The sequence below is a fragment of the Homo sapiens genome, chromosome 7 (genome assembly GCF_000001405.40).
Source record: "Homo sapiens chromosome 7, GRCh38.p14 Primary Assembly".
In the NCBI taxonomy this organism is placed as follows: Eukaryota; Metazoa; Chordata; class Mammalia; order Primates; family Hominidae; genus Homo; species Homo sapiens.
Genome location: NC_000007.14, coordinates 20,141,630 through 20,167,898, shown reverse-complemented (window position 1 = coordinate 20,167,898; position 26,269 = coordinate 20,141,630). Strand labels below are relative to the sequence as shown.

The following is a 26,269-nucleotide window of genomic DNA, read 5'->3' as shown; positions in this document are numbered from 1 at the left end:
TATGGGACCTCTTGTTCAAAACATATTAGGTATTTCAAGATGGCAGTGGCAGAGCATTACACCAAGCATGGGGCCTATCCAAGAGTGGGGCTCTGTGTTATTGCACAGGTCACATGCCCATGATGCAGGTCCTGCTGTGAACTTGGAGATCTTCCGGGGTCAACACTGTGGCTTGATACTACTCTCCAGCAACAGGGTCAGGGTGTAGTCTCAAATTTCGCTTCCTCTGGAAGAGAAGTTTTAACCTATAGGTAGAAAGTGTTGTGTAGAGTTCAAAAATGTGTTTGCTAGTATCTAGTATCCTTAAGTTCAAAGACTGGTTTGCTACTTAGTAGCTTTATAATCTTGGGCATATAATGTCCCTAAGACTTTATTTCCCTACCTTTAAAATGAGGATAATGGAGGCCAGGCATAGTGGCTCATGCCTGTAATCCTAGCACTTTGGGAGGCCAAGGCAGGCAGATTGCCTGAGCTCAGGAGTTCGAGACCAGCCTGGGCAACATGGTGAAACCCCATCTCTACTAAAATACAAAAAATTAGCTGGGCGTGGTGGCATGCACCTGTAGTCCTGGCTACTCAGGAGGCTGAGGTAGGAGAATTGCTTGAACCCGGGAGGTGGAGGTTGCAGTGAGCTGAGATCACACCACTGCACTCCAGCCTGGGCGACAGAGCAAAATTCCATCTCCATTGAAAAAATAATAATAAATTAAAAAAAAAATAAGGATGATGGTAGAGCCAACTTTCTAGAATTGTTGCAAGTAAACAAGAAAAGCCATGCATGATACCAGAAGTGTGGCAAGCTCCAAATAAATAATGAATAATAGCTCTTATGATTATCTTTTACCTTTTTTATTTTTTACAGGCCCAAGATATTCCTTTTGTGTATCTGTTCAGGGAGTCCTTTATACCTTTTCTTCCAGATCTAGATTTCTGGATATGTTCCTTGACTACATCACTAAGCTGCACTTCAAACAGTTTCTGACCTACTGTTTTTATATCCCTGATTTAGTCTCACTAATATGATGTTATGCTGCACAATTATTATGATTTTCCTGAACTTCAGTTCTGCCAGTGATGGAAGGATAATAAGATAGAAAGAAGTGATAGACATCTTGACCTGGTGATATTAACAAGATGACGTATTGATGAAATGTTTTGAGTTCCCAGGGTTGGAGGTATCATAGAAATTATTATGGATTTCTAATACCGCTTAATGCACTGGGAGGCCTGCTCCCTTCCCTGGAGAATCTTCTGAAACTCTTTGCCTTGGGGAAAAGTAACTGCTGACATTTGCCCTGTCAGGTCTTTTAAATATTTGGTCAGAATCATCAGCTGCAACACTTGAAGTATTTAATAACTGGGAGAAAGTATGCTTGTGTATGGTGTATACTATTAAAAATTACCAATCAGAGAGTGCCACTATTCCATCAGAAGTTGCCCTAGGGTAAGATCCAGTAAGGCCACTCACAGCATGGTAATGTCCAGTAAAATCATACCAGGTGTGTATCATCAGCTGATTATGATTCCTTTGTGGGCCTTTTTAAAAAAATACTGGTTGCATTTACAAGTAATACAATGTTACTTGGGCAGGTTTGGCATTTGGCAGGTGAAGGAAAAGTCTACTAGTCCAACAGTTGCTCTCCTGTCACCTATAAGAGTTATAGCCTACATGGACATGTTTTTATTATCACATAGATCAAGAGTTAAATACAGTACAAATTCATGGAAATCATCGAGGTTTCAGGTATTCAAGCACTAACTGAAAAATACTTTGAACCTACCAGCTGGCTAACACTAGCAATTTTCACAATGTAATTACTATCATAAAAAATTCAAAGGACACATTTTAAAGAAATAATTCTTTTAAGTGTATTGTTTTCTTGGTTACTTATTCCAAACACTGCATTGCTCCCCACCCCTTATCCTCACAAAAAATATCTTCTGACTTTTTTGCTAAGTTGTACATTTGGTAAATGTTTCTAGTTGCTTAGGGCCTAGTTTAAATAGTAAAATAAATAAGGGCAAAACTTTGTTGGTTTCTTAAGGAAAAAAGTAATGGATCATGCAAAATCAGCATAAGTATTTTTAAAAGGCATATTGAAAAACCATGTCCCAAATTAAATGAATACTAGAGTACTCTATTCTCATTTACTCATTCCAACAAAGACTGACTCATGTTTCTCTAGATAAAGTAAAAAAAAAAATCCTGTTTTGGGCGGCAATTGTCATTGAGTATGGGGTTTAATTGGAAGAAAACATAGGGAAATGCTAAATGTGGCTAATGTGATTTGCACCTGTGTAAACAAGCAATGCCATTGTCCAGGCAGATCTTGGTCCTTCCAGTCGAGGATTTTTTTTTTTCCCCTATACCACCTCTCCTTGGATTCATAGAAAAAAATTTAGATTTAGGATGGTACTGTGAGGGATGGAGGGATGTGTTTGTGTAGAGAAAGATTATGAGAGAGAGGATTTGTTGTGGGATAGTGAGAGTGGCTAGGGAAACCATTTGGCTAGGGAAGGAGCTTTTAGAATGGCTTTCAGAATGTGGTTCTCAGCATGTGCCCCTTGGAACCGAACCACAGTATCAGCATCATTTGACAGCTTTGTTAGAAATAAAATTCTTGTGCACAATCCCAGACCTTCTGGATTAGAAACACTGGGGTGGTTCCAAAGGGTTGTTTGATTAAGCCTTCCAAGTGATCCTGGTGCCACTGAGTTTTGGAACAACTACCTTGAAGGACAGTGAAGACCTGCTTGAGTGACTGGAGAATAAGGATAATCCACAAAGAATCTCAGCTAACGACCCTTTGGTGCCTTTGTTTCTGAGAGGTTATGATCCTTCAAGGTCATAGCTGCGTAAGGCATCATTCCTGGTTTTTATGTGGTTGAGGACTTCTACCTACATTCCATTTGGTTATAACTATTTTTCATATCAACGGTTATTTGCCTCAAAGGAATCCTCAGTACATATTGCTCATTTTGCTCTTTCCTCATAAAAAAAAAAAGAGTTTAGGTAGTTTACTAAGTTGATTTTTTAAGAATATATTTTATCTTTTCGAAAATAGTTTTCCATTTAGACATTTGTTCCTCATTTTAATTTAGTTTGTTACATTTTGCTGAGGAACTTGAGCTCAGCTTTTCTACCTCAAAGTTTTGACTACTTATTCTGTGCTAAAAACTTTTAATTTTGGACATTATATTTGGTAAAATCAACCACAGCATTTGGAAGGTCTGCCAGGAAATTTGAGGTTTCCGTGCAACTTGAATATTGCATAATTCAACATTTTACCCATTTTTTCGATGTAGTTTCCCCAATCAGGGAAAGAAATGGTTATTGCAACATTGGATTTTTTTAAGCATGCCACCTTATGAGACAATTTTTGGATTTATTTAATTATCATGCCTGGAAACACATGCTTCCCTCCTTTTCCTTTTCTTTTTCTTTTATTCCTTTTCCCTGTTTTCCATCTTGTTTTAATTTTTTCTTTCATTTTTATAGATCAGAAAAGGCTTCTGCTTTCTTTAAAAAATAAAACTACTTGAAAAGAAAAAAATCAAGAATTAGAAAGAAGAGTATAACAATAAAGAAGGAGGGGTCACAGGTGAACGAGATGTGGTCAACACACACAAAGGAGAACAAAAAGTAAGGTTTAAAGTAACTGGGCCGGGCGTGGTGGCTCATGCCTGTAATCCCAGCACTTTGGTAGGCCAAGGTGGGCAAATCACCTGAGGTCAGGAGTTCGAGACCAGCCTGGCCAACATGGTGAAACCCTGTCTCTACTAAAAATACAAACATCAGACAGGACTGGTGGTGGGCGCCTGTAATCCCGGCTACTCTGGAGGCTCAGGCATGAGAATCACTTGAACCTAGGAAGTAGAGTTTACAGTGAGCTGAGATCACACCACTGTACTCCAGCCTGGGCGATATAGCGAGACTTCATCTCTGAATAAATAAACAAATAATGATAATTTAAAAAATAACTGGAAATGTGAACTAGAAGGTGGGACAGTCTCAGAAGGTACATTGGGAATCTTGAGTCTGACATAGGGTATGTGGCATCTTAAGTTATGGGCTGCATATAGTAGTTATAACATGAACAAGTAACTTCCGGTCAGTGGCTCACTTGCTAATCAATCTTGTGGTTTAGTTACGTTCTATTGCTGAGACTCTGAAAGTCATATTTATAATACCTGTTTTTCAATGTTGTCATGGGATGAAGAGAAATTATATATGTAAAGAAGGCTGAGTCCCAGACATGAGATACTGACTACCAGTATGTGTTCATACTTTTAGTTGTGATTCATCTGTTTCAATAGTTGTATGATACTTCATTGTGTTAATATGCCACAATTTATTTATCCACTTATATGGCAAAGGATATTCTGGGGAATATCCTAGGGATTTCAGTTTTCTTGATAATGTAATGAATATTCATGTATATCTCTTTGATGCACATCTGCAGAGTTTTCACTAAAACAAATAACTGGGATTGGAATTGTTGGGTACTAGGCTGTAAGCCTATTTCCTAGACAATGTCAGATTAACTTCCAAGTGGTTGCACATATTGACACTTCCACAACAAGTATATAGGCTTTCCCTTTGTTGCACATATTTGTCAATAATTGGTGTTACTAGACTAAAATATTTGCAAATTTCATAGGTAAAAATTGTGTTTCTTGGGGTTTCATTTTGCGTTTTCCTAATTACCAATGAGATTGATCATATTTCCATATATCTAGGGGCCATTGTGTTTCCATTTTTTGAGAAATGTTCATTTAGAGAATTTTTTCAAAAATTTCTATAGTGTTGTTTTATTTTGTTTATTGATTTGCGGGAATCTTTGATATATTTTGGAATCCAATTATTTTTCCTTTTTCAGTCATGTGCAATGAAAATAAATTGTCCTAGTTTTGGCTTGTGTTTTTACTGATGTCCTTTGCTATATAGGATGTCTTATTCTAATGTGTGGTTTTATTTTTTAGGATTTGCATATTGCATAAGTGTGTGTGCCTTGTTTAAGAAATTCTCTCCTTCCCAGAAAACATAAAGACGATCTCTAGACTATCTTCCAAATTTTAAGGTTTTGTTTTCACTTTTAGGTTTTTTAATCCCTTGGCATTTATTTTCTGTGCACAGGATGAGATAGTGATCAATGTAATATTTTTTTAGCATGCACAACAAATGGCAACATCACTGTTTAATGAATAATCCACCATTTCCACACCACTCTGTTTGGCCACCTGTGCCATGTATCAATCCTTCATATAAGGGTGGGTCTGATTCTGAGATCTCTATTCTGTGTCCTTCATATATTTATGTTCCACTTCCATGTTGTCTTACTTAGAGCCTATTTATGATAAATGCTGATATCTGATAGGTAGTGCAGTTACTTTTGTCATGCTCTTCTTCTGGATTGAGTATTAGCTCTTTGCTTTTCTATGTAAATATTAAAATAGCTTAAGAAGTTATTGCTGCTGTATGTGTTGTTAAACAACATGCTTCAAAACAATATGCTCTATGCAATAAATACATACAATTTTATCCATTGAGAAATAAATAAAATTTTAACTATTAAAAAAGAAGTAACAAATACACATACACATTTACGTGCAATTTTTCATGGAACTGCATCGAATGTATACAAGGATTTAGGGGAAAATTTTTAGTTTGTGATATTTAGTCCTCCAATCGCCAAACAGGAAATGTTTATTTACTTAGTTTTCAACTTACTTTTTTGTTGTTGTTGTTGTTGTCCTTGGAATTCTCATTAATTGCTTTTATATGGGATCAGTAATATATTTCCAGATTTGGTTATTGGTATTAATCTGGAATTTGATCATTTTTTAGTGGAGTGCTAACACATATTTTAGTATATCTAGTCGAGTATCCTACCAGGAGTAGAAGATTTATATAGAGGATTTTCACATGTAGTTCTTTATAGAAATACGTATGATGTCTTTGAGTTTATTTTCTCTGCCAGCCTGTATATGTATGCTTACAAAAAATACTTATCTATTTACTTTGTAGGTGGAAAAATGCTAATCACTGAAAGAAAACATTTTCGGTCAGGAAGAATTGCACAAAGTATGTCTGAAGCAAATTTGATTGACATGGAAGCTGGAAAACTCTCAAAAAGTTGCAATATTACAGGTATGGGAATTTATAACTGTTGTGATTTGTCCATGTAAGTATATGAAATTCATCACCAATAATTGTTGAAGGTCTACCTCTGAAAATGCTGGAAGATGAAAAGAATTATAAAATCTTGTTTTTATCATAGAAATAGTTAAAAAGATGTGCAAAATAAAATAGCACAGCCAACAGATTATGATAAATATTATAAAAAGGAAAAATGTTGTTAATAAATGAGTGTTATATGCAATAACTATAATGAATTTGGGGGTAAAAAGGCTCTCTGAAGGTTGATTGACCTAGGAAATCTTCATGGAGCATCAAAAAATTAACCTGATCCTCAGAGGAAAAGTAAGTTTTAAGAGAGTTAGGGGTAATTGTATTAAAGAAAAGTGTGAATATAAGAGAAATGCCACCTTTATTTTTCAAAATCCGTCTTCTAATTTTTAGCATATAACACTTAAAAACATTTCAATTAAGGTAATGTTTCTATGTATATTAAACAAAAGAAATTCTGACAGTTTGCTTGAATTATTTTTTCAGTAGAACTTCTGAAAATTTGGTTGGCTCTTCTGCCTGTCTCTAAAAGCAGCACTAGCTTCACAAAGTCTACAGAGTCTTTATAATTATTTACTAAGAAATGACCAAGTACGAGTTGCTCTACACAAACAAAAAATGGCTTCAATGTTGTGAGATATCTAGAAATTCTTATAATAGAAATGTAAATATTTTAATGTTACAAATTCTTAAGACACTTACTTTCCAAAATAATAATGCTTCAATTTCTAGTGGTAAAATTATTATTTGCCATTGCAAGCTTGAGTGCAATGAATTCATTTGATCAATAAAACCAATGGTGGTCTAAATTTTCAATGTTCATTTTATGAATTCCTTTTCCTGAAAAATGTTAATAACATTTCAATACAAAATTATAGAATTATCTAATAAATTAATGACTTTCTAACTTAGCATATTGTTTTAAACGTTATTTTAAATATTAACAGATGTATTTGATATTTTCTACATATTCAATATTATCTGAAAAGGAAAATATTAAATTAATATTCTGAATGTAATGAAACCAACAATTCAGTGCTTAGAAAAATATGGATAATTGAATAACTGATTTATTCTATTTGACCAGAAATTTGCTTTTGTAAACATGATACATAAAATAATAAAGCATAAGCACATGCTAGTCTGAGTCATTTTCAAGAAAATGTGTTAAATATATTATTAGGTCATATTAAATATTTATTTGTTTAGTTTATAAATCATGATGTCTTAAAATAACATTACATATGTTCAAAAAATAACCTGGTAGAAAAAATATTCTTCTCTCATTACATATAAATTTGAGCAAATTTAACATTGAGTTTATGTTAGCTAGTAGACTAGAGATCAGAAAGAAAAATGAAAAGTAAGTCCTGAATTTTTAAGCTATGGGAAAAATTAATCTTGATTGTAACTCACAGTGCCACCTTATCTTTGTTTTGCTTTGTCTTTCCTTAAATAACAAGAATGCCAGGACCCAGACTTGCTTCACAATTGGCCGGATGCTTTCACCCTTCGTGGTAATAATGCTTCCAAAGTTGCAAATCCATTCTGGAATCAACTGTCTGCTTCTAACCCATTTTTGGATGACATAACTCAACTAAGAAATAACAGGAAGAGAAATAATATTTCCATCTTAAAGGAAGATCCTTTTCTTTTCTGTAGAGAAATAGAAAATGGAAATTCTTTTGATTCCTCCGGTGATGAACTTGATGTGCATCAGTTACTTAGGCAGACTTCCTCAAGAAATTCTGGAAGATCTAAAAGTGTTTCAGAACTTCTGGACATTTTAGACGACACAGCACATGCCCATCAGAGTATACATAACTCTGACCAGATCCTACTACACGACTTAGAGTGGCTTAAAAATGATCGGGAGGCTTATAAAATGGCTTGGTTAAGTCAACGCCAGCTGGCCCGCTCCTGCCTTGATTTGAATACAATTAGTCAGAGCCCTGGATGGGCCCAGACACAACTTGCGGAGGTCACCATAGCTTGCAAAGTAAACCATCAAGGAGGGTCAGTACAATTACCTGAATCAGACATCACTGTTCATGTGCCCCAAGGTCATGTGGCTGTGGGAGAATTCCAAGAGGTGTCTCTAAGGGCTTTCCTTGATCCGCCACACATGCTTAACCATGATCTTTCGTGCACTGTGAGCCCGTTGTTGGAAATCATGTTAGGCAACCTCAATACAATGGAAGCCCTTTTGCTGGAGATGAAAATTGGGGCTGAAGTAAGAAAGGATCCTTTCAGCCAAGTCATGACAGAAATGGTGTGTTTACACAGCTTGGGTAAAGAAGGCCCTTTTAAAGTTTTAAGCAACTGCTACATTTATAAAGACACCATCCAAGTCAAGCTAATCGACTTGAGTCAGGTAATGTATCTAGTGGTTGCTGCACAAGCTAAAGCTCTTCCGTCACCAGCTGCCACCATTTGGGATTATATCCACAAAACCACCTCAATTGGAATTTATGGACCCAAATATATCCATCCCAGTTTTACTGTTGTTTTAACAGTTTGTGGACACAATTATATGCCAGGACAGCTTACAATTTCTGATATTAAGAAGGGTGGAAAAAACATATCTCCAGTTGTGTTTCAGCTCTGGGGGAAGCAGTCATTTTTACTTGACAAGCCACAAGATTTAAGTATTTCTATTTTTTCCTGTGATCCTGATTTTGAAGTAAAGACAGAAGGAGAAAGGAAAGAAATTAAACAAAAGCAGTTGGAAGCAGGTGAAGTAGTTCATCAACAATTTTTATTTTCTTTAGTTGAGCACAGAGAGATGCACTTGTTTGATTTTTGTGTTCAAGTGGAGCCTCCCAATGGTGAACCAGTTGCACAGTTCTCTATCACTACTCCTGATCCAACCCCAAACCTAAAAAGACTCTCGAATCTGCCAGGCTATTTGCAGAAGAAGGAGGAAATCAAGTCTGCTCCTTTATCACCAAAAATTCTTGTTAAATATCCTACATTTCAAGATAAAACATTGAACTTTAGCAACTATGGGGTAACCCTGAAGGCAGTGCTAAGACAAAGCAAGATTGATTACTTCCTTGAATATTTCAAAGGGGACACAATAGCTCTCCTCGGGGAAGGTAAGGTAAAAGCTATTGGTCAGTCCAAAGTGAAAGAATGGTATGTAGGAGTCCTCAGAGGTAAGATTGGACTTGTACACTGCAAAAATGTCAAGGTGATTTCAAAGGAGCAAGTAATGTTTATGTCAGATAGTGTCTTTACAACCAGAAATCTTCTTGAACAGATTGTCCTGCCTTTAAAAAAATTGACTTATATCTACTCAGTTGTATTAACCTTGGTGTCAGAAAAAGTTTATGATTGGAAAGTTTTAGCTGATGTCCTGGGTTACTCACATCTGTCCCTGGAAGATTTTGATCAAATTCAAGCAGACAAAGAATCAGAGAAAGTTTCTTATGTTATAAAGAAGTTAAAGGAAGATTGCCACACAGAGAGAAATACAAGGAAGTTTCTGTATGAACTTATTGTGGTGAGTATTGCTTGATCATGGTAATGAATTGCCATCGAGAATTGTATTAACTTGACAATATTTATAACTGAACATGTGAGAGGAGAAATGTTTAAAAATTCAACAGTCTTAAATACATTAAAGACACTTTATAGCAAATATAGTTTTTCCTACATGATCATAAAACTGGTTTCTTAAACTTGAGATTCAACTGTGATTTCCCCAAAAACCAGGATCATCTTTTAAAAGAAAATAAAAAGTTCTGTTTGTGCTGGGCTTAACAGTTCAGATACAACTTCTCTTCCTGTCTCAAATATTTAGACAACTCTTAAGATACCAGAGAGGCTCCATAACATGAAAGCAAACTAAAGAGAACTAACTTGGCCATTGTTAGGGATCTACTTTTCAGTGTGTGTGGGATTTTTTTCTTTCTTTCTTTTTTTTTTTTTTTTTTTTTTGAGACAAAGTCTCGGTCTGTTGCCCAGGCTGGAGTGCAGTGGCACGATCACAGCTCACTGCAGTTTCAACCTCCAGGGCTCAGCTGCCCAAGTAACTCAGACTGCAGGCATGTGCCGCCATGCCTGGGTATTTTTTTTTTTTTTTTAAGGGATGAGTGTCTCACTATGTTTCCCAAGATGCTCTTGAACTCCTGGCCTCAAGCAATCTTCCCACCTTTGCCTCCCAAAGTGCTGAAATTACAGCCATGAGCCACCACACCTGGCTGTTTCTTTTTTTTAATGTATTACCAATATCCTTTAGCAATTTAATATTCTTATGTATACAATGCATTACAGCCTAAACAATAATATTAGTAATTCTCATCTTAATCCTCATGTTTTAATAGGACTCCCAGTGCCAAATTCTTTAGTGTAGTATTCAACCCAGTGGAAGGCTCAGTGTAGAATTACAAAGTACTTTTTACCTTTAAAGTAGAAATTCAATATTTTATAAAAATAAAAAAAATCAAGATCATATTTCTAAAAATGGTTAAAACATGAGTGTAAAAATAAAAATGATTGTTAATGCTTCTCTAGTGCTTATTTAGCCATTAACAACTCTATGGGGTAAGTATAGCTAGTATCTTCATCTTATAGGTCGAAGAAACCAAGTCTTAAAAAGTTAGACAATTTGCCCACGTCCTACAGTTGCCTATTCTTATAGATGGGATTTGAATATTTTTTGGTTTCAAAATCATGCGTAAAGCCACTATGCCTTCATGAAACAAAGTAATGTGTGTGTGTATAAAAATGTTTGTATAAGTACTGTGTATGTGTAGGTATTTGTATTAAATATTATAATTGTGAAAGGCTGGTGCTCTGTAGAAGGTAAATAAAATTATATAGGCAGGTTCATGCAAAGGAGCAAAGTTTTAATCAAGATGCAAAAGAAGTAGAAAATATTTGGAGAACAAATTTAATCTGTGGCATTAACAATGATTCATATAATAAATAAATATATATAACATTATCTCTCTTTCAATATTTTTGATGATTCTACAGTGATACTTAGAGAAGTTGAAATTCAAAAGCTCCTATATCCAGTTGCTAAGTTGATAGATTTTTTATGGTGTGCTGCATTCTTACCTACCCTGGGACATTCAGAACTATTGGAGACTGAATGTTAGAAGCTGCTCTACCTGGTGGAAGCTGCGTGTGCATTTTGTAATAGCTCATTAACTCTCATAGCTCATATTTAACATTCACCTGCAAAGGTTTGAATTGGAAAATTAATTTCTTTTGTTTTTTTAGTGGCCTAAAAATGTTGTAATGGCCAAAGGTCATTAATGATGGTCTGAAAGTTCAAGCCTGATCATACCTGTATATTTTGGGGTATGATAATTACCAGAGTGCCTCAAGCGGCTAATTAGAAAATCTAGTAGAGACTCCATTCAAGCGGGGAGCTTCCAAGCTTTAGTGGAGGTTTCAGGATTTCTGTATGAAGAGGCTCAGGCCTGGTTCTCTGACTGGCAGGTGATGGAGCATGGGGTATAGAGTTGTCTCTTGAAACTTTATTTGCATAGTAAATATACATTTTTCTAGGATTGTATATTGATTTGGTGTGGCAGGGAGCGACCCGATAAGCTGAAAAAGACTGTGGGATCCAAACCCTTCAGTCATCTCTTGACATTGAGACTGGCTGTCCTTATATACTTGACACTCTCTAAAGCACTTCAGCATCCAATTTGATTTTCACAATGATTATGGAAGTTTAGACAAAGTGGAATTAACACTACATTGATTTTAAAAATCATTAAATAGAGATACTGTGTGATGCATGTAAAGTCTTATACTATGTGGAGCTGGATTTTAAACTCAGGTTTTATGGCTCCAAGTACAGATCTTTTCCCTAAAACAAGAAACTGGAATATAAAGTAGTAACCCCACTCCACAGTTTACTAAAAGCACCATCAGGGGCCCGCTAGCTCAGTATTGTTTCTCACTGAGGCTATAACTCTTCAGTATAAATGTATGGATCCATTTATGTATCAAAACCATGGGTAGTCCTTCTAATTGCATACTTTCAGGGGAATGAACATGCTATCAACTTTCATAGTTGCTTTACTTGCTTATTCATTTTAACTTATTGTTTCATATTGGTAGATAAAGCTCCAAAGTGCCATTAAATAATGAGGGGCTACCAAACATGTTTACAGTAGTTCCCCTTATCCACAGTTTCACTTTCTGTGGTTTGGGTTACCTACCATCAACCATGATTGACAAATAGGTGAGTAGAGTACAATAAGGTATTTTGAAAGAGAGAGGCCACATTCACATAACATTTATTAGAGTATATTGTTATGATCGTTATATTTTATTACTAGTTATTGTTGTTAATCTCTTACTGCGCCTAATTTATAAATTAAACTTTTCCATAGGTGTGTATGTATAGGAAAAAACACAGTGTGTATAAAATTTGGTACTATCTGCAGTTTCAGGCATCCACTGGACAGCCTTGAAATGTGACTCCTTTGGATTCTTGGATCTCCTTGGATTCCCCCTCCTAAGGGGGAGCTACTCTATTTGCTCATTTGAACAAAGAAGAGGTATAGATAGATGTAATCCCATATTTTAAAAATGGTACTCAAGGCAAAACACAAACTTGTAGACTTGTTTGAAACATGCATGGTTAGGTAAGAGCCTGATGGTTTTCTATTTTGCATTGTAGAAGACTAGGTGTTTTGTCTTTAATACCTTGTACTTTATGTTTAATACCATTATATTGGTGATGAGGGAGAGTATTTTTAATAAATTTATATATATATATTTTAAACTTATAAACATCAATAGCTTTGTTCAAAGTTGAAGGAGTGTCTCTTTTTTTTAAACACAGCAGGCATGATTCTGGGATGTTTTAAGTCATATTTTGGTGAAAATAGAATAATATTTACCATCACCAGTTCACATACACTTTAAAGAAATTCTTGTAGCCAATCCTCTCCTAGAACGAGGCTTTATTTCTTGTGAGTAAATAACTAATCCTAGAGTGATAAATTAGAGACTGCCGGAACTTCAGAGTACCATTGGAAGTGTGTAATTTAACTTCCTTTTTTCACAATTAAAGATACAAAGACACATATTAGTTAAGTGGTTTATCCAAGGTCCTATAATTAGCCACTGAATTAGTTCTAAATCTCCCCTAACTCTGGCTTAGTTATGTCTACTGTAGTTTGCTTATAGAATTTGCTTAAATGTGAATCAACTCCTTGAGCTTTAGAAAACTCGATTATACGTGTAGTGAAAAAAAAGGACTCCCATTTGTAGAATATGTAATAAAAATTCCAATTTATAGAGAGAAAAGCCCAAGTTAGTTGCTTTTAATTGTGACATGTAATTGTTGCTGCAGGCTCTTCTGAAAATGGATTGCCAAGAGTTAGTCGCACGTCTCATCCAAGAAGCTGCTGTTCTGACTTCAGCTGTCAAGCTTGGAAAAGGCTGGAGGGAACTAGCTGAAAAGTTAGTACGACTCACAAAGCAACAAATGGAGGCATATGAAATTCCTCATCGAGGAAACACTGGAGATGTTGCTGTTGAGGTAAGACTTCTGTTTGTGTAATTCAATAGTGAAAAGTTGCAGACCAAGTAACACTAATGTAATCAAACCCATACCACATTCACGGATTCACTGGGGGAATGTCCAAGATGATCCACTAACTGAATCACTGCACTAGTAACTCATCAGTACTATCTGAAATAAACACACACACTCTTAAAAGGCATTGAGAGCCCTTAAAATATTGATGTTTCTTCTTTTGGATTTCATATTCTCATGGCCTTTGATCAATGAATTAATTGATCAAATTGGGCCAGTAAGTGGGGATGGCTATAAGAACTTGAGTCATAAAACAGGTAAATTTTGAAGGTGGGAGACAGGATCAAGTCAGGACAATAGAGGAAGACATAATGATATGTACTTATCGGCCTCAGGCATAAACTTAGTCACTTGCGATAACTAATGCTCAGGGACAAGAAGTAGTAAGAAAGTGGATGTAGAGCCACTGGTGATGAGAGATTGATAACTAAGAGCTTCATTATCTCCTTCACAATGTTGCCTACAGTAACTACAGGCATCAGTTGCAGAATGTTAGCACTTAGTACAAAGTAAATATTTACCATGAAAATATTGTTTTTATCAAAACAAATGTATGCTGTTAGGCACAAGTTAAACACATATTTTTCTCCAGATTACCATAAAGAACTGGGAGTCAATTTTTATTGAATTAAATAAATAAAAATATTCCAGTGAAGGGCACATGTAAAATATTCTGTATCTTTCTCTCAAATGAACAAGCATTTTGAAGATATTTATGTTTAAGGAAATCTTCTCTCTATTAGAGATGACTTGGTGAGAGCAGAAGCTGTATTCTTCACTTTGTTTTTGGCGTAGATCTGGGTATTAATTTTTGGAGAAAATTTTCTTGCTTCGATGCAACCATTCCAGTTGGGTGAACAGGACAAAACCACCTTTGCATGAAAAGTAGAGTCAAATCAAGTCAGCTGAATTCCAGCAGCTGCAGTGGAAGTGTCAGCAGGCTGGTTTCTGAGTTCCTGCAGCCTGGCTCTCCAGCCAGGACTTCTCCAAAATAAGACTCTTTAGCCAGGAGCAACCAGGGACTGAGGATGTCTTTCCCCTCAGAGACTACATTTATCTCCATAAACTTAGAAGGGCATTACAGCCTATAAATAAGCATAATATAGCATTTGGTGCAGTACACAAAATGGACTCAAGTGTTTACAGAATGAGATGAAAGATAGGAAGCCTTTAAGAAGGAAAAACAAATATTATGAGGGATACGCTCTTCTGATTCGGACATTTCAGTTAACTGATGAAAAAGTTGTCTAATTGAAAGCAGGACCTTTTTTTCTTAATAAGGTTCTGTTTTGAAAGAGTTTTGTTGAGAGTTATTTATCAGAGTTATTTATTCTGTCAGCCTCCTTAAGCATCTGGCTTCTCTCTAATTGTGGTTGTTTATAGTTTGTCTTCCCCTAAATCTTGATGGAGGCCAGCAAACCACCCACTTTTCCATTATTTACTTTTGCACAGCCCAAATCATAAATGACTAAGTCTTTGCCTGAGGCTGATAAACACTCAGAAGCAGAAAGGAAAGCCCCTAGGTGTCTTTCTATGATAGTTCAACTTATTGTGATTAATAGTAATAGTCATCACTCAGATTCATGTTATTAAATACTTAGAAAAATCCACAGTATATTGGCCTGAGGTCATTCCAAATAATATACAGAAATCTTACGTACGAGGTCACTTAACTAATGGGTAAATATATGCTAATTTCCAACCTCCTAAAAAATAGCTGTATAATTTTTCTCTTTGGGAGGAGATTCCTAAATATGATCAATTTACAATTCAAGTAGTTGATTTCAAAGCACACTGATATTAGTTCTGGGTAGGGGGTGCAGAGGGAGGGAAGTGCACTGGGGCAGGGAGATAATTAGGTCTAGCAGTTGCTGGGCCGCTTTTTTTCCTGTATGTCATTTCCTCAGAGGGCACACACTCCAAAAACTGCCTTCTATGTGTGCCAATGCCTGCAGTTGAGCTGTTTCGCTTACTTTCTCTCCTTTAACTTCTTTCTCTTCCCTTTGTTCTATTTTTATTGTATCTTAGGGAGAGTTATCTGGCACTGACTCCGTGACAGACACTGTTCTGGAAATATTACAAAAATTAATTAATGTAATCCTTTCAATAAAAACTCATGGGGCAGACACTAATATCTAAGATATGGAGAGGATAAGTAACTTGCTTAAACATACACAGCTGGAAAGTCCTGGAACCATGTTTAGAGCACAGACATTTGACTTCAGAGTCCATGACTTTAACCATTACACTCTGTCCATCACTGTTTAATATGGTGACTATGTTGCAGAGTCAGAAGGTGCGGCCAGGGTTAAGCAACTTGTTTCATTTTTTATTTGTCCTCTTTTCAGGCCATGTCAAGTAGCCATGATACTATCAAAAATTGCCTCAAAATTAAATCTTTACCAAGCCTCAAGCTGGTTAAAAAATGAAGTATATTAATAATAAATTTGTCAGATTTTCTGAACACCTTAACCATTTCTTAATTTTTTCTAAGGTGAAGAAAAAGCCTCTCTTTGGAAACTTTTGAGAATGTCACTTTTGAAATTAACCATCTCCTCAAGTTAAATTTTAAGAAATGTTACTCGACTTTTCTAATGACATGGTAATTACTACATAAAAGCAAAGCTGTAAAGCTTGGAATCTGATAATAAGCAAAGTATGTTTTTCAGAGTATTTCTTTCAGAAAAAATGCACTTACACTATACAAAGATGTCACTATTGCCAAGGTTCTTCCGTGAAAGTTAGTGAAAATTTATTGGCATTTTCTGAATATATTTAGAGTTTTAATTTTTTAAAAAAGGAATCAATAGCATATTAGAAAAATAGCTCACTTTTTAAATGTTGAATTTTACAAGGGGACATGCTGGGGATTCAGAGATAAGAAATTCACTGGCCTAAATTGGGTGCTCTTCACTTAGCCTTCTAGGGATGGTTACCACAAATGACAATACTTTTTCTATGGCTCCCTCATTGGCCCCCTTGCTTAACAATATAGATTATGCCATTTTTATCTTGTTTAATAAGGACACATATTCACCAAGGACACTAAAGTTTCACTTCCTTTCTTTTTTTTTTTTTTTTCTCCTTTGAGACAGTGTCTGGCTCTGTCACCCAGGCTGGAGTGCAATGGCACAATCTCAGCTCTCTGTAACCTCCACCTCCCAGGTTCAAGAGATTCTCCTGCCTCAGCCTCCCAAGTAGCTGGGATTACAGGCGCATGCCACCATACCTGCCTGATTTTTGTATTTTTAGTAGAGATGGGTGTTTCACCATGTTGGCCAGGCTGGTCTCGAACTCCTGACCTCAGGTGATCCACTCACCTCGGCCTCCCAAATTGCTGGCATTACAGGTGTGAGCCACCACTCTGGCCTCACTTCCTTTCTTCAATTACCTTTGCCCACTGGGCTCTACCTCAGCCACAGGCACCAATAGTCCTGTTGATAATAGTTTCTTATCTGACCTGCCAGAATGGGCCACTCTCCCAATGGAAGCCAGCGAAGTCAATGTTCCTAATGGTAATTTTTTTTCGTCTCGGAAATTACTCACCTGTAGAGATTCATAATTGGGAAGATGTATTTTAAGTCTATTTGTAGTCACCATTTAATCAATGCAGATCTAATACTCCTTTGTATCTTCTATTCACAACCTGTTCCTCATTTTCTGACTGGCCGCTGGAGAGTTCAAAGTACTTTGTTCCAAGTCTAGATTAAAGATAAGAAAGTTGTTGATTTTCAAGAAGTTTTAGTCATTTTCTATAAGTGAATGAATTCCACATGGAATTCTTTCCACTTATTTAGTATCTTATATCTGTGTCCTAGCCTTCAGTATTTAATTCATCCATATACTTAACGCTTATTCTGGGTCTATCAGTTCTGGACATTGGTTTAGGAGCCGTAAAAAACACACAATATGATTATTTTTTCCTTAAAAACCAGGTTTTACTTTGGCCTGGGAATTGGGATAAACTGTTAATATTTGAATTGTTATAATATTTCTTAAAAGTATAGGACTAGATGACAATGTTAATAGTTGTAACTTACCAAATGTTCATTGTCAGCTAGTCATTATGAGCATTTTCTTTACAGTATCTCTATTATTTCAATATACTTTGTAAGGAAAACATTATAGCCATCTGCTCTTTACATATATACAAACTGAAGGTGAATGTATTTGTGTAATTTATCCAGTTACATGGCTATTAAGGGCAAGTACTTAGATCTGAATTCACGTTGTCTTATATAAAGTCCTAACCACTGTATTATACTAATGATAAGCCCTTTCAAATTTAACTTACTTAAAAAATATCAAAGTGGTGAGGAGTAATTAGGAGACATGCTAGCTTTGAAGGATGGGTGGCCTTTGAGTAATTGGAGAGGAATAGAAGTAGACTTCAGTGCTTCTAAATATCAGTGAGCTCTAGGGACCACTGAGAAGATGTGGCCTGGAGGGGAGAGTTCACCTTACTAATTACTGGGTGATGTGGTCAGGTACATATGTTGGTATCAATGGAGGGGAGTCTTCAGTGACTACCAGAGCATAGAGGTTAAGATTCTTGGCTGGACTTCTGTTCCACCTCTACCATCTATCAGCCCTCAAGCCTTGGGCAAATTACTTTACTTTTCTGGGAATCTATTTTGTGTGTCTGTGAAGTAAGGAGAATAATACTATCTTACTCACTGGATGTTTAGAAGATCAAATGAGATAATAAATGTGTAATATTTGGGACAATGTTTTGCATATTGTAATCACTAAATACATATTATTTATTATTTTAATGAAGAGGAAGAGGAAAAGGTGAATTTGATAACTATATAACTTTGAGTAATTTTTGGAAAATAGAATAAAATACACTGTTTTTTTAGTAATGTGACTGAGAGTGCCTATAGGAAGAATGTAAGGAAAAAGTTAGCAGTTATTTCAAGGTTTCTCATCTGAGAAACTGGCAGAATAGCAATGCATGGAAAAAAATGAGATAAAGTCTTGGCTGATCAGCTTATTTCTTATGGGCTTAACAACATTTAATTTTCCTTGGAAATTATCTCTCGCAAAAGTTAAAAGAAATGTCCTTGGGCTGTATGGTTTTCTGGCTTACATGGCAACTTCTGGATTCTGCTTACAGGGATGTTGAATTATCAAGGTCTGTATCAGGGCCTGGTTCAGTTCTAGCCTTGGTACTTAATTCTTTTGTTTGCTGTTCTTTTGAAATGAGAAATATATTTATAATTTCTTAGAGAAGGGAAAAGTATTATATGGAAATTCACATACCAGTTGTAAAATGTATAGAATGATATCTCAAATCTCCATTGTTTGAACTAGAGATTTGGCACAGTGATGTTATTTAGATTACCATTGTCTACTTTGTACAATTTAGATTACCATGTCTACTTTGTACAATTCTATACTTGTTACAAACTTTAATTTCAAAAAGATACTCCATTTTGGGAGGAATGAGGTAGGAAAGAAAACAAAGATAGCACAGTGAAATTTCTGGGGTAACACATTGTATTCCTATGATCTTTGACTTAATTCTATATTATACACTGAAAATCAAATAGAAATAACATGCATATTAAGTTAAACATTATTAAGAAAATTCAAAATGGATTTAAAGACACTATTTAATTTTGACTTTAGGTTTTCTTTTTCAAGCTTTAGTACTAGGGAACATAAACAATAAGGAATTTCAGAAAACCAAAATCCAGCTATGTGTAAGACCAAAATCAGCATTTGTTAGAACTGCTTAATAATGAAATAAAGTTGTGGCAATACTTTAGTAAAATGGCCCTAGATTTATAGCAAGGTTACCTGGGTTCTTTTCCTGGATAGTTGACTGTGATTTTGTTTCTTAACTTTAAACTCAACTATAATTAGCATTAATTGAGCACTTGGTGTGTGCCAAAAACATTTACATCCATTCCTTTGTATACTTAGCAATTCTTTTATAGCATTGGGTACACCTTTTTTCTCATTTGCCAGAAGGGGAAAGCAAGGGCCTAAAGAAAGGTGATAGCTTACCTAAGATCCTGGAGCTACTAAACCAAGAGTCTAGATTTAAACCAAGATGTGTGCCGCTAAATCCAGAGCTCTTGACACTGTATTTTTTCATTTGTTTTAATGTTTACATTGAAAAATTAAATTGAAGGAGCCCAATTTCTTTAAACATTGGTGTCAGTTGTCTCCATGAATATATGTTTTTGGCAGGGGCATGGGTGGCAGTGATGATGAGGAGGCAATGAGGAATCCTCCCAACTAGGAATTGGTAAGATGGCTTAACCAGCAGGTTTTCCTATAATGTTAGACTATTTAAGCAGATGCACTAGCAAGGAATAGGTCCTCTGTCTTCCTCTGGCTCATGCTTAACCCCTGAAGTTCCAAGTGGTTATTCTCACCCAAATTTAGCTGGTTGTCCTCAAATAGACTTTTTCAATGGAATCTTGTGTCAAGTTTTAACCAAGCAGCATCTCCCTCGTGAGGACATAGGGGCCCCCAGATATGTTAGCCTCCCTTCTCTTCTGAAGACAACAGCAATCTTACCTTCAACAATATTTATGTACTTACTAATTATAGGTAATGTTAAATGTTAAGTGTTAAAGCTTACCTGAATATTGTAAATGATGTACTGAGGATAGAACACATGAAATAATCATTAAGAAGGCAACCTTGCCTTAATACTTCTTCAGCTAATGGTACTGAAAATGAAGTGTTGTTCCTGTAAGTTTATAGGAGAAGTAAGTGGATTACTAATCCTTTAATGTGACAAAATGTAATTATCCAAAAGTAGTTAAAACCAATTGCATTCTTTATGCTATTCATATTTTATAAGCTAAAAAAAGACATACAGTGCTATGCTGAAATCTGAATTTCTTCTACTCATGTGGCATTTCATTTTCTAGTGCATTTTCTAATGAGTCTTATTGGCTTCTGGGAATGAGCACTCTAAATTTGGAAAACTATGTATGTTTTGCCTTTATTCCTATTTCATTTCTTTTGGCATCCCACTTATTACTTTTTATTGCTCCATTACTTTTTATTTTGTCCTATAACACTGAAAAGATAACCTAAGACACACTTCTTCCACACAAAAGCTTGAACTTTGGAAAACTGCTCAACTTTGTATGTTAAATACTTACTCACGCTGCTGCCCTTTTTTATAAAAAGAAAAGCACATAGATGAAAATTAACAACTTTGTGCTTTTATCAGCCTCACGCTTCCTATTCAAGAATGAAACTGCAACATCATGAAGTTACCATTAAAAATCTAAGAATAGAGGCATAAGAATGCAGCCTATGTATTAAATATTTGTGATAGAAATGAGAAGGCTGAGATAATTTTTGTGGTTAAGAATAATTTAACAACTAAAAAACAAGCCCTCCTGAGAGGGCTTTCCTTTAGATTTTTCAAAACACAAGTGTAGAGTTTCTGCATATCTTTTCTAATCATAACATTGAGCAAGAGAGGAACAACTATTTTTAAAACACAGAATAGATACAAGACAACATAAATCTGGAAGAGATCTTGGCTGTCTGCAACTCCTTTCTAGCCTTCGGAGGATTAAATGTTAGTCAGTCCGGAAAGAAAATTATTTATTCTACGCATTTTATTCCTTCAAACATTTCCAGAAAAGATGACTTCATTTTCTTTGTAATTTATTAAAAAATTTAGAATTTTTTGTGACCTTACTGGGTAGATATTTTAGGGCAAATTTCATAGAGTTTATTGTTAATTAATGTACACAAATTACCTCTTATGTCTCTGCCTTGGATAAAATGTATTTACTGTTTAAGAAAACCAGAATGAAATGAGATAAAAAATGCAGAAAAAATAAAAGTACCTTTAGAACTTGTGTCCAAATGTTCATATATCTATTCCACAAAGGACAATTAAACAACTGATTAGCCTATTTACTGTATTGAAGAGACCTGGACGATTAATCAGGTTTTTTTAAGGCAAAGCTCAAATAGAGATTTACTTTTTTTTTTTTTTTTTCTTTTTGAGATCCAGGCTGGAGTGCAGTGGCATGATCTTGCCTCACTGCAACCTCTGCCACCTGGGTTCAAGCGATTCTCCTGCCTCAGCCTCCCAAGCAGCTGGGACTACAGGCGCGTGCCACCACGCCTCACTAATTTTTGTATTTTTAATAGATACAGGGCTTCACCATAATGGCCAGGCTGGTCTCGAACTCCTGACCTCATGATCCACCCACCTCAGCCTCCCAAAGAAGTGCTGGGATTACTTGCGTGAGCCACCACCCCCAGCCTAGAGATTTACTTATTAAGGGAAAACATAGTTCCCCCAATTTAATATTTTTTATCAGTGTATTAAGTACATAAGTCTTGACATATGCTTTTGTTCTCATTCCTTCTCGATTTCTCATGATACTTGCCCCTCTAATTTTGTGCCCTAACTCCATAATGATTTTAACATCCTTTTGTATTTATGTTTCTGCCAAAGGAAGTTAACCTTTCTTCTTGGGTGCTTTATATATGCTACCTCTTTAAGCCTCATTAACCTTAAGTTCTCCATATGGCAAAGCTAAGATTCAAATCCAAATCCCCTTGCCATCATAGAATATTACTTTAAAAATTTTTTTTCTTTTTAAAATACCTCTATTTTCTACTGCTGCTTGTTCTGGTAGGATATTACTTTTTAAATTTGTTTTTCTTTTAAAAATACCTCTATTTTCTACTGCTGCTTGTTCTGGTTCTGTCTCTCTTCCTTTGACACTCAAATTTCAGATGTGACCCATTTGTTTGGTGTCTTCCATTTCTTTGATACCTGTTTGTACCTGTCGTATGCCCCCGACTATTCTCTTGAAACTGCCTTCTCCAAGTTACCAAAGTCCTGCTAATTTCCAAAATCCTGGATTTGCCAAGTTTTTCTTTATATTCCCACATTGTTGATGTTACAGGTAGCAGTGGAGGTAACAGAAAAGGGAAGTCCTCAGTGTTACACTGGCATATGTTTACCAACCAACCCTGCAGAGGGAAAAAATCTAAACTTATAGCTTTTGTTAATGTTCTTAGTGTAAATATTCCGATCGTACATCATTTTAACCTACCATTGTGGTGTCACTGGAGTTGTGGAACATGGAGTTGGGAGGATATCCAGGGAGCTTGTGTGAGCTGGCTCCAGCAAGCCAATGCATGTCCTTTTTGGGATGTTATTATACTTCTTGGCTTTTGCAAGATGAAGCATGTGATTCACTTTCTTTTTCTTTGACTCCAGCTTCTCCCCATCCTTTTATTGCGTCTATTTCTCTCTTGTATCCACTAATAATTGACTTAGTTGAGAATTAAATTTTGCATCCCTTTTTTCTCTTCCTTGGTGTTTTCTTCTGCTCTCATGTGTTTTGCCATCCCTGTAGCACAAGTGATGCTAAACCCTTGTCTGTCCTCTCAAGGTCATCTCCTCATTCCAACTGTAATTTTTTATCAGATACCCTCCCTTTTGCTTGATATTCAGTAGGGCTGAAAATAGGCTCTTTAGCTTGCCCCTGCCAAAAAAATAAGTACTTTCTTCTCTATCCTATTAAGAAGTATAAATGCAAACTATATGCCAGATACATCATGAGGTATTTTGAACACAAAATTTGGGAATGATTATCCATATTTTATAGATTAAAAAAATTCCAAGCTGAAATAACTTGATTAGTTTATCAAATTAACCTATCAAATAGGCAACAGAACTCAGATGTAGACACAGGACTCTGCCACCCAAACCTATCTTTCTTTCCATTATAGCATCAGTGAATACAACAATCATTTTTTCTCACACTGATTTAAAATATGCAAGTAATTTTTGAGTTTTTCTGTAATTATCACATCCTATTTCATCCCCTGTGCCAGTGTTTGTGCAGGTGTCTATCTCCTTCCTACGCTATAAGCTTCTAAAAGCAAGAGTCATGCAATATTCATCATTTTCTTACTGTAACAAAATTTATTGTAGTGGAAGATAATAAACCTTGATTTGATAAGCAAAATAGTTAATGAACAATGATAATGTTGAATATTTTCATTGTATTTATGCTATAAAAGTGTTTCTCTATCATCTTTGTTGAGAGCTACCAATGATTTTGTACACAGAAGATGAATTTTTGCACCAAAGGAATATTCAGGTTTAATTTGCTGCAATGAGGAAGAAAAATGGAATACAGAGTATGCTCATATTTTAGTGTAAATCGTAAAGTTTACCAACGCCCTATTGTTTTCAGCCCAATGCTCTTTTACCCATTTCTAGCCAGATTACAGCTTACACTCCAGGGAGTCTCAAATCGGTTTAGGGCAATATTCCCCCTTGCATTTCAGACAAATTCAGGGGACTCTTGGGAAGTCTTTACACCTTCAAAAATCTTAATTAGGGCCTAGGACTCAGTATTGTACCCAAATTTCTCTGATTTGCAAGAGCTATCGACACTACTCTGTTGTTAGTACAAATTGCCAAATGTAGGGCTGGGCGTGGTGGCTCATGCCTGTAATCCCAGCACTTTGCGAGTCCGAGGCGGGCGGATCATGAGGTCAGGAGATCAAGACCATCCTGGCCAAGGTGGTGAAACCCTGTCTCTACTAAAAATACAAAAAAATTAGCTGGGCGTGGTGGCGCGTGCCTGTAATTCCAGCTACTTGGGAGGCTGAGGCAGGAGAATTGCTTGAACCAGGGAGTGGGAGGTTGCAGTGAGCTGAAATCACACCACTGCACTCCAGCCTGGGCGACAGAGCCAGACTCCGTCTCCAAAACAAAACAAAGCAAAGCAACAACAACAACAACAAATTGCCAAATGTGAGGACGTTATGTGGTGCTCTGCGTAAGTGCATGAGTAGATGTGTCGTCGGACCTTTCCTGAATCTGTAGTTTCTATTTTTTGCATCACCTGTGGTATTTCCTGCCCTCAACAGCATGGAGAAGCTGCTTCTTGACTGAGTGTGCCTAAGGGCTCCTCTACACATAGCAATTCACAGTCCTGCCGCAAGATAGGCCATAGATACAGAGCTTTTCTTCCCATGAAAGTAGGTGGGGCCATATTGGCTGCTTTTGACTGTAAAAGTATTTGAATCTGTAGTGTAGTGGACAACCCCAAAATTACCCTTTTATAATTCTTGAGATGTCTGTTTTCTGCGATGCTTTACACTAATCTACTATGCCATCCCCTTTTTACAGAAATGTTTTAAGTTGCTGTTTATCATAAAATATCTTCAAATACATCATTTATCAGACTCAATCACTAGCAGACTTAGAACAGTCTTAGAAGCCTTTAGCTATAAACACCATTATTTTAAAAAATACGTGACAATTTGAACCAGTTCGTTGAGCATCAGGGACTTTTAAGTGAATAGAAGGTAGTGTCCACGTCTCAGAGATTTTACAGACAGAATATACCCACTACAGAATAATCTATTTGTTTAGTGATTCTTTGCAACTGAGCAGCGACAACCAAGATTGAGTCTGACAAAAAAGGTTCCATTACTATGTCTCAACTGATATTCCATTGTTGAGAAACTAGTGGCAATTGTACTTTGAGAAGTTTGATTTCAATGTAAATCTTCAGAAATATAGATGAGCAGATGCCTCATTCACATTCCATCAGACATAGAAGATAAAATTATTAATCCGGTTGGTGAGGGTAAAACTTATATACAAAAATCTGAGATGATTTTTGTTGCTGCACCATATGCTGATATGGTATAACTTTGATAATTGTCTTTTATTCTCTACCTTGCAAAATTAAGCTTTGTCGAGAGAGATGAGGAAATGGCTGTTCATGGCTTCCCAGGAATGCCAGTTTGGACAAATAACATTAAATTGTCCTTAGAGCCTTTTATGTGGATTGAATCAAATACATAATGGAACTCCCTATTTAGGTCTTTAATTCTTTTAACTTTAAAATTAGACTATATGAGGATATTGGAGGATGGTGAAAATTATATGCCAAGGCTTTAGTTCATGTGATATTACTGAACTGTGATAGAGGTTCTACTTTAAAAGGGCAGTTCTGCATGATATTTAGCTCGGAGTCTATGTTCCTACATTTTGCAAGTGATAGAATCACAACCAAATTAGTTCAGTGAACCCCCCAAAATAAGCAAATAATAAAGTTTATATTTCAAATATTCCACTTACAAGTGCAGGGTTCATTTTGTTGTTTCCCTAGAGAAAATTCATTTTAAGGTGCTGTGTGTGTGACGTGTGTGTGTGTGTGCGTGTGTGTGTGTATTCTACAATTTGTCTTATTTGGTCTGCCTTTGTCTCTATTCTCCCTCTAGCCTGGTTGCCTTGGTTACCATTACATGCATGCTTGTATGTGAAGTTTCTCTTTGACGTACATTTATTTCTATGGAAACAATGACATCATTGGTATGGGTAGGTGCTTAGGAAAAGCAAAAAGAAGCAGCACTGAGTATTGGTTTTTCTTTCGATGATAAAATATATCATGAAATAAATATTTTAAATTAGAGAATTATATTTTTGCTTTCATCTTGACTTGATCAAGAAGCTAGATTTTTGCTTGTTT

General features: G+C 35.9%; 1 protein-coding gene and 1 long non-coding RNA gene across 2 annotated transcripts in view, besides 1 other annotated feature; one reads left to right on the top strand and one right to left on the bottom strand.

Annotated features, from left to right (window-relative positions):
- The window catches only part of MACC1 (MET transcriptional regulator MACC1), an 82,730-nt gene that overhangs the window by 49,486 nt on the left and 6,975 nt on the right, over positions 1 to 26,269 (top strand). The window contains exons 3-6 of the mRNA NM_182762.4: positions 3,500 to 3,643; positions 6,029 to 6,151; positions 7,654 to 9,695; positions 13,518 to 13,706. Coding sequence (NP_877439.3) covers positions 6,037 to 6,151; positions 7,654 to 9,695; positions 13,518 to 13,706 — 2,346 coding nt within the window. The 5' untranslated portion in view covers positions 3,500 to 3,643; positions 6,029 to 6,036. The remainder of the gene's footprint in view (positions 1 to 3,499; positions 3,644 to 6,028; positions 6,152 to 7,653; positions 9,696 to 13,517; positions 13,707 to 26,269) is intronic.
- Positions 8,928 to 9,087: a silencer, noted in NCBI's record as "silent region_17988". NCBI's record gives its function as "represses an Ori minimal core promoter by ATAC-STARR-seq in GM12878 lymphoblastoid cells {active_cell/tissue: GM12878}" and the evidence as "EXISTENCE:reporter gene assay evidence [ECO:0000049][PMID:35858748]".
- Positions 14,368 to 25,983, bottom strand: MACC1-AS1 (MACC1 antisense RNA 1). Its single transcript, NR_046756.1, has 4 exons — positions 25,879 to 25,983; positions 20,362 to 20,472; positions 17,310 to 17,464; positions 14,368 to 14,635 (listed from the first exon to the last, which is right to left on the bottom strand). It is a non-coding gene; the product is annotated as an MACC1 antisense RNA 1 (long non-coding RNA).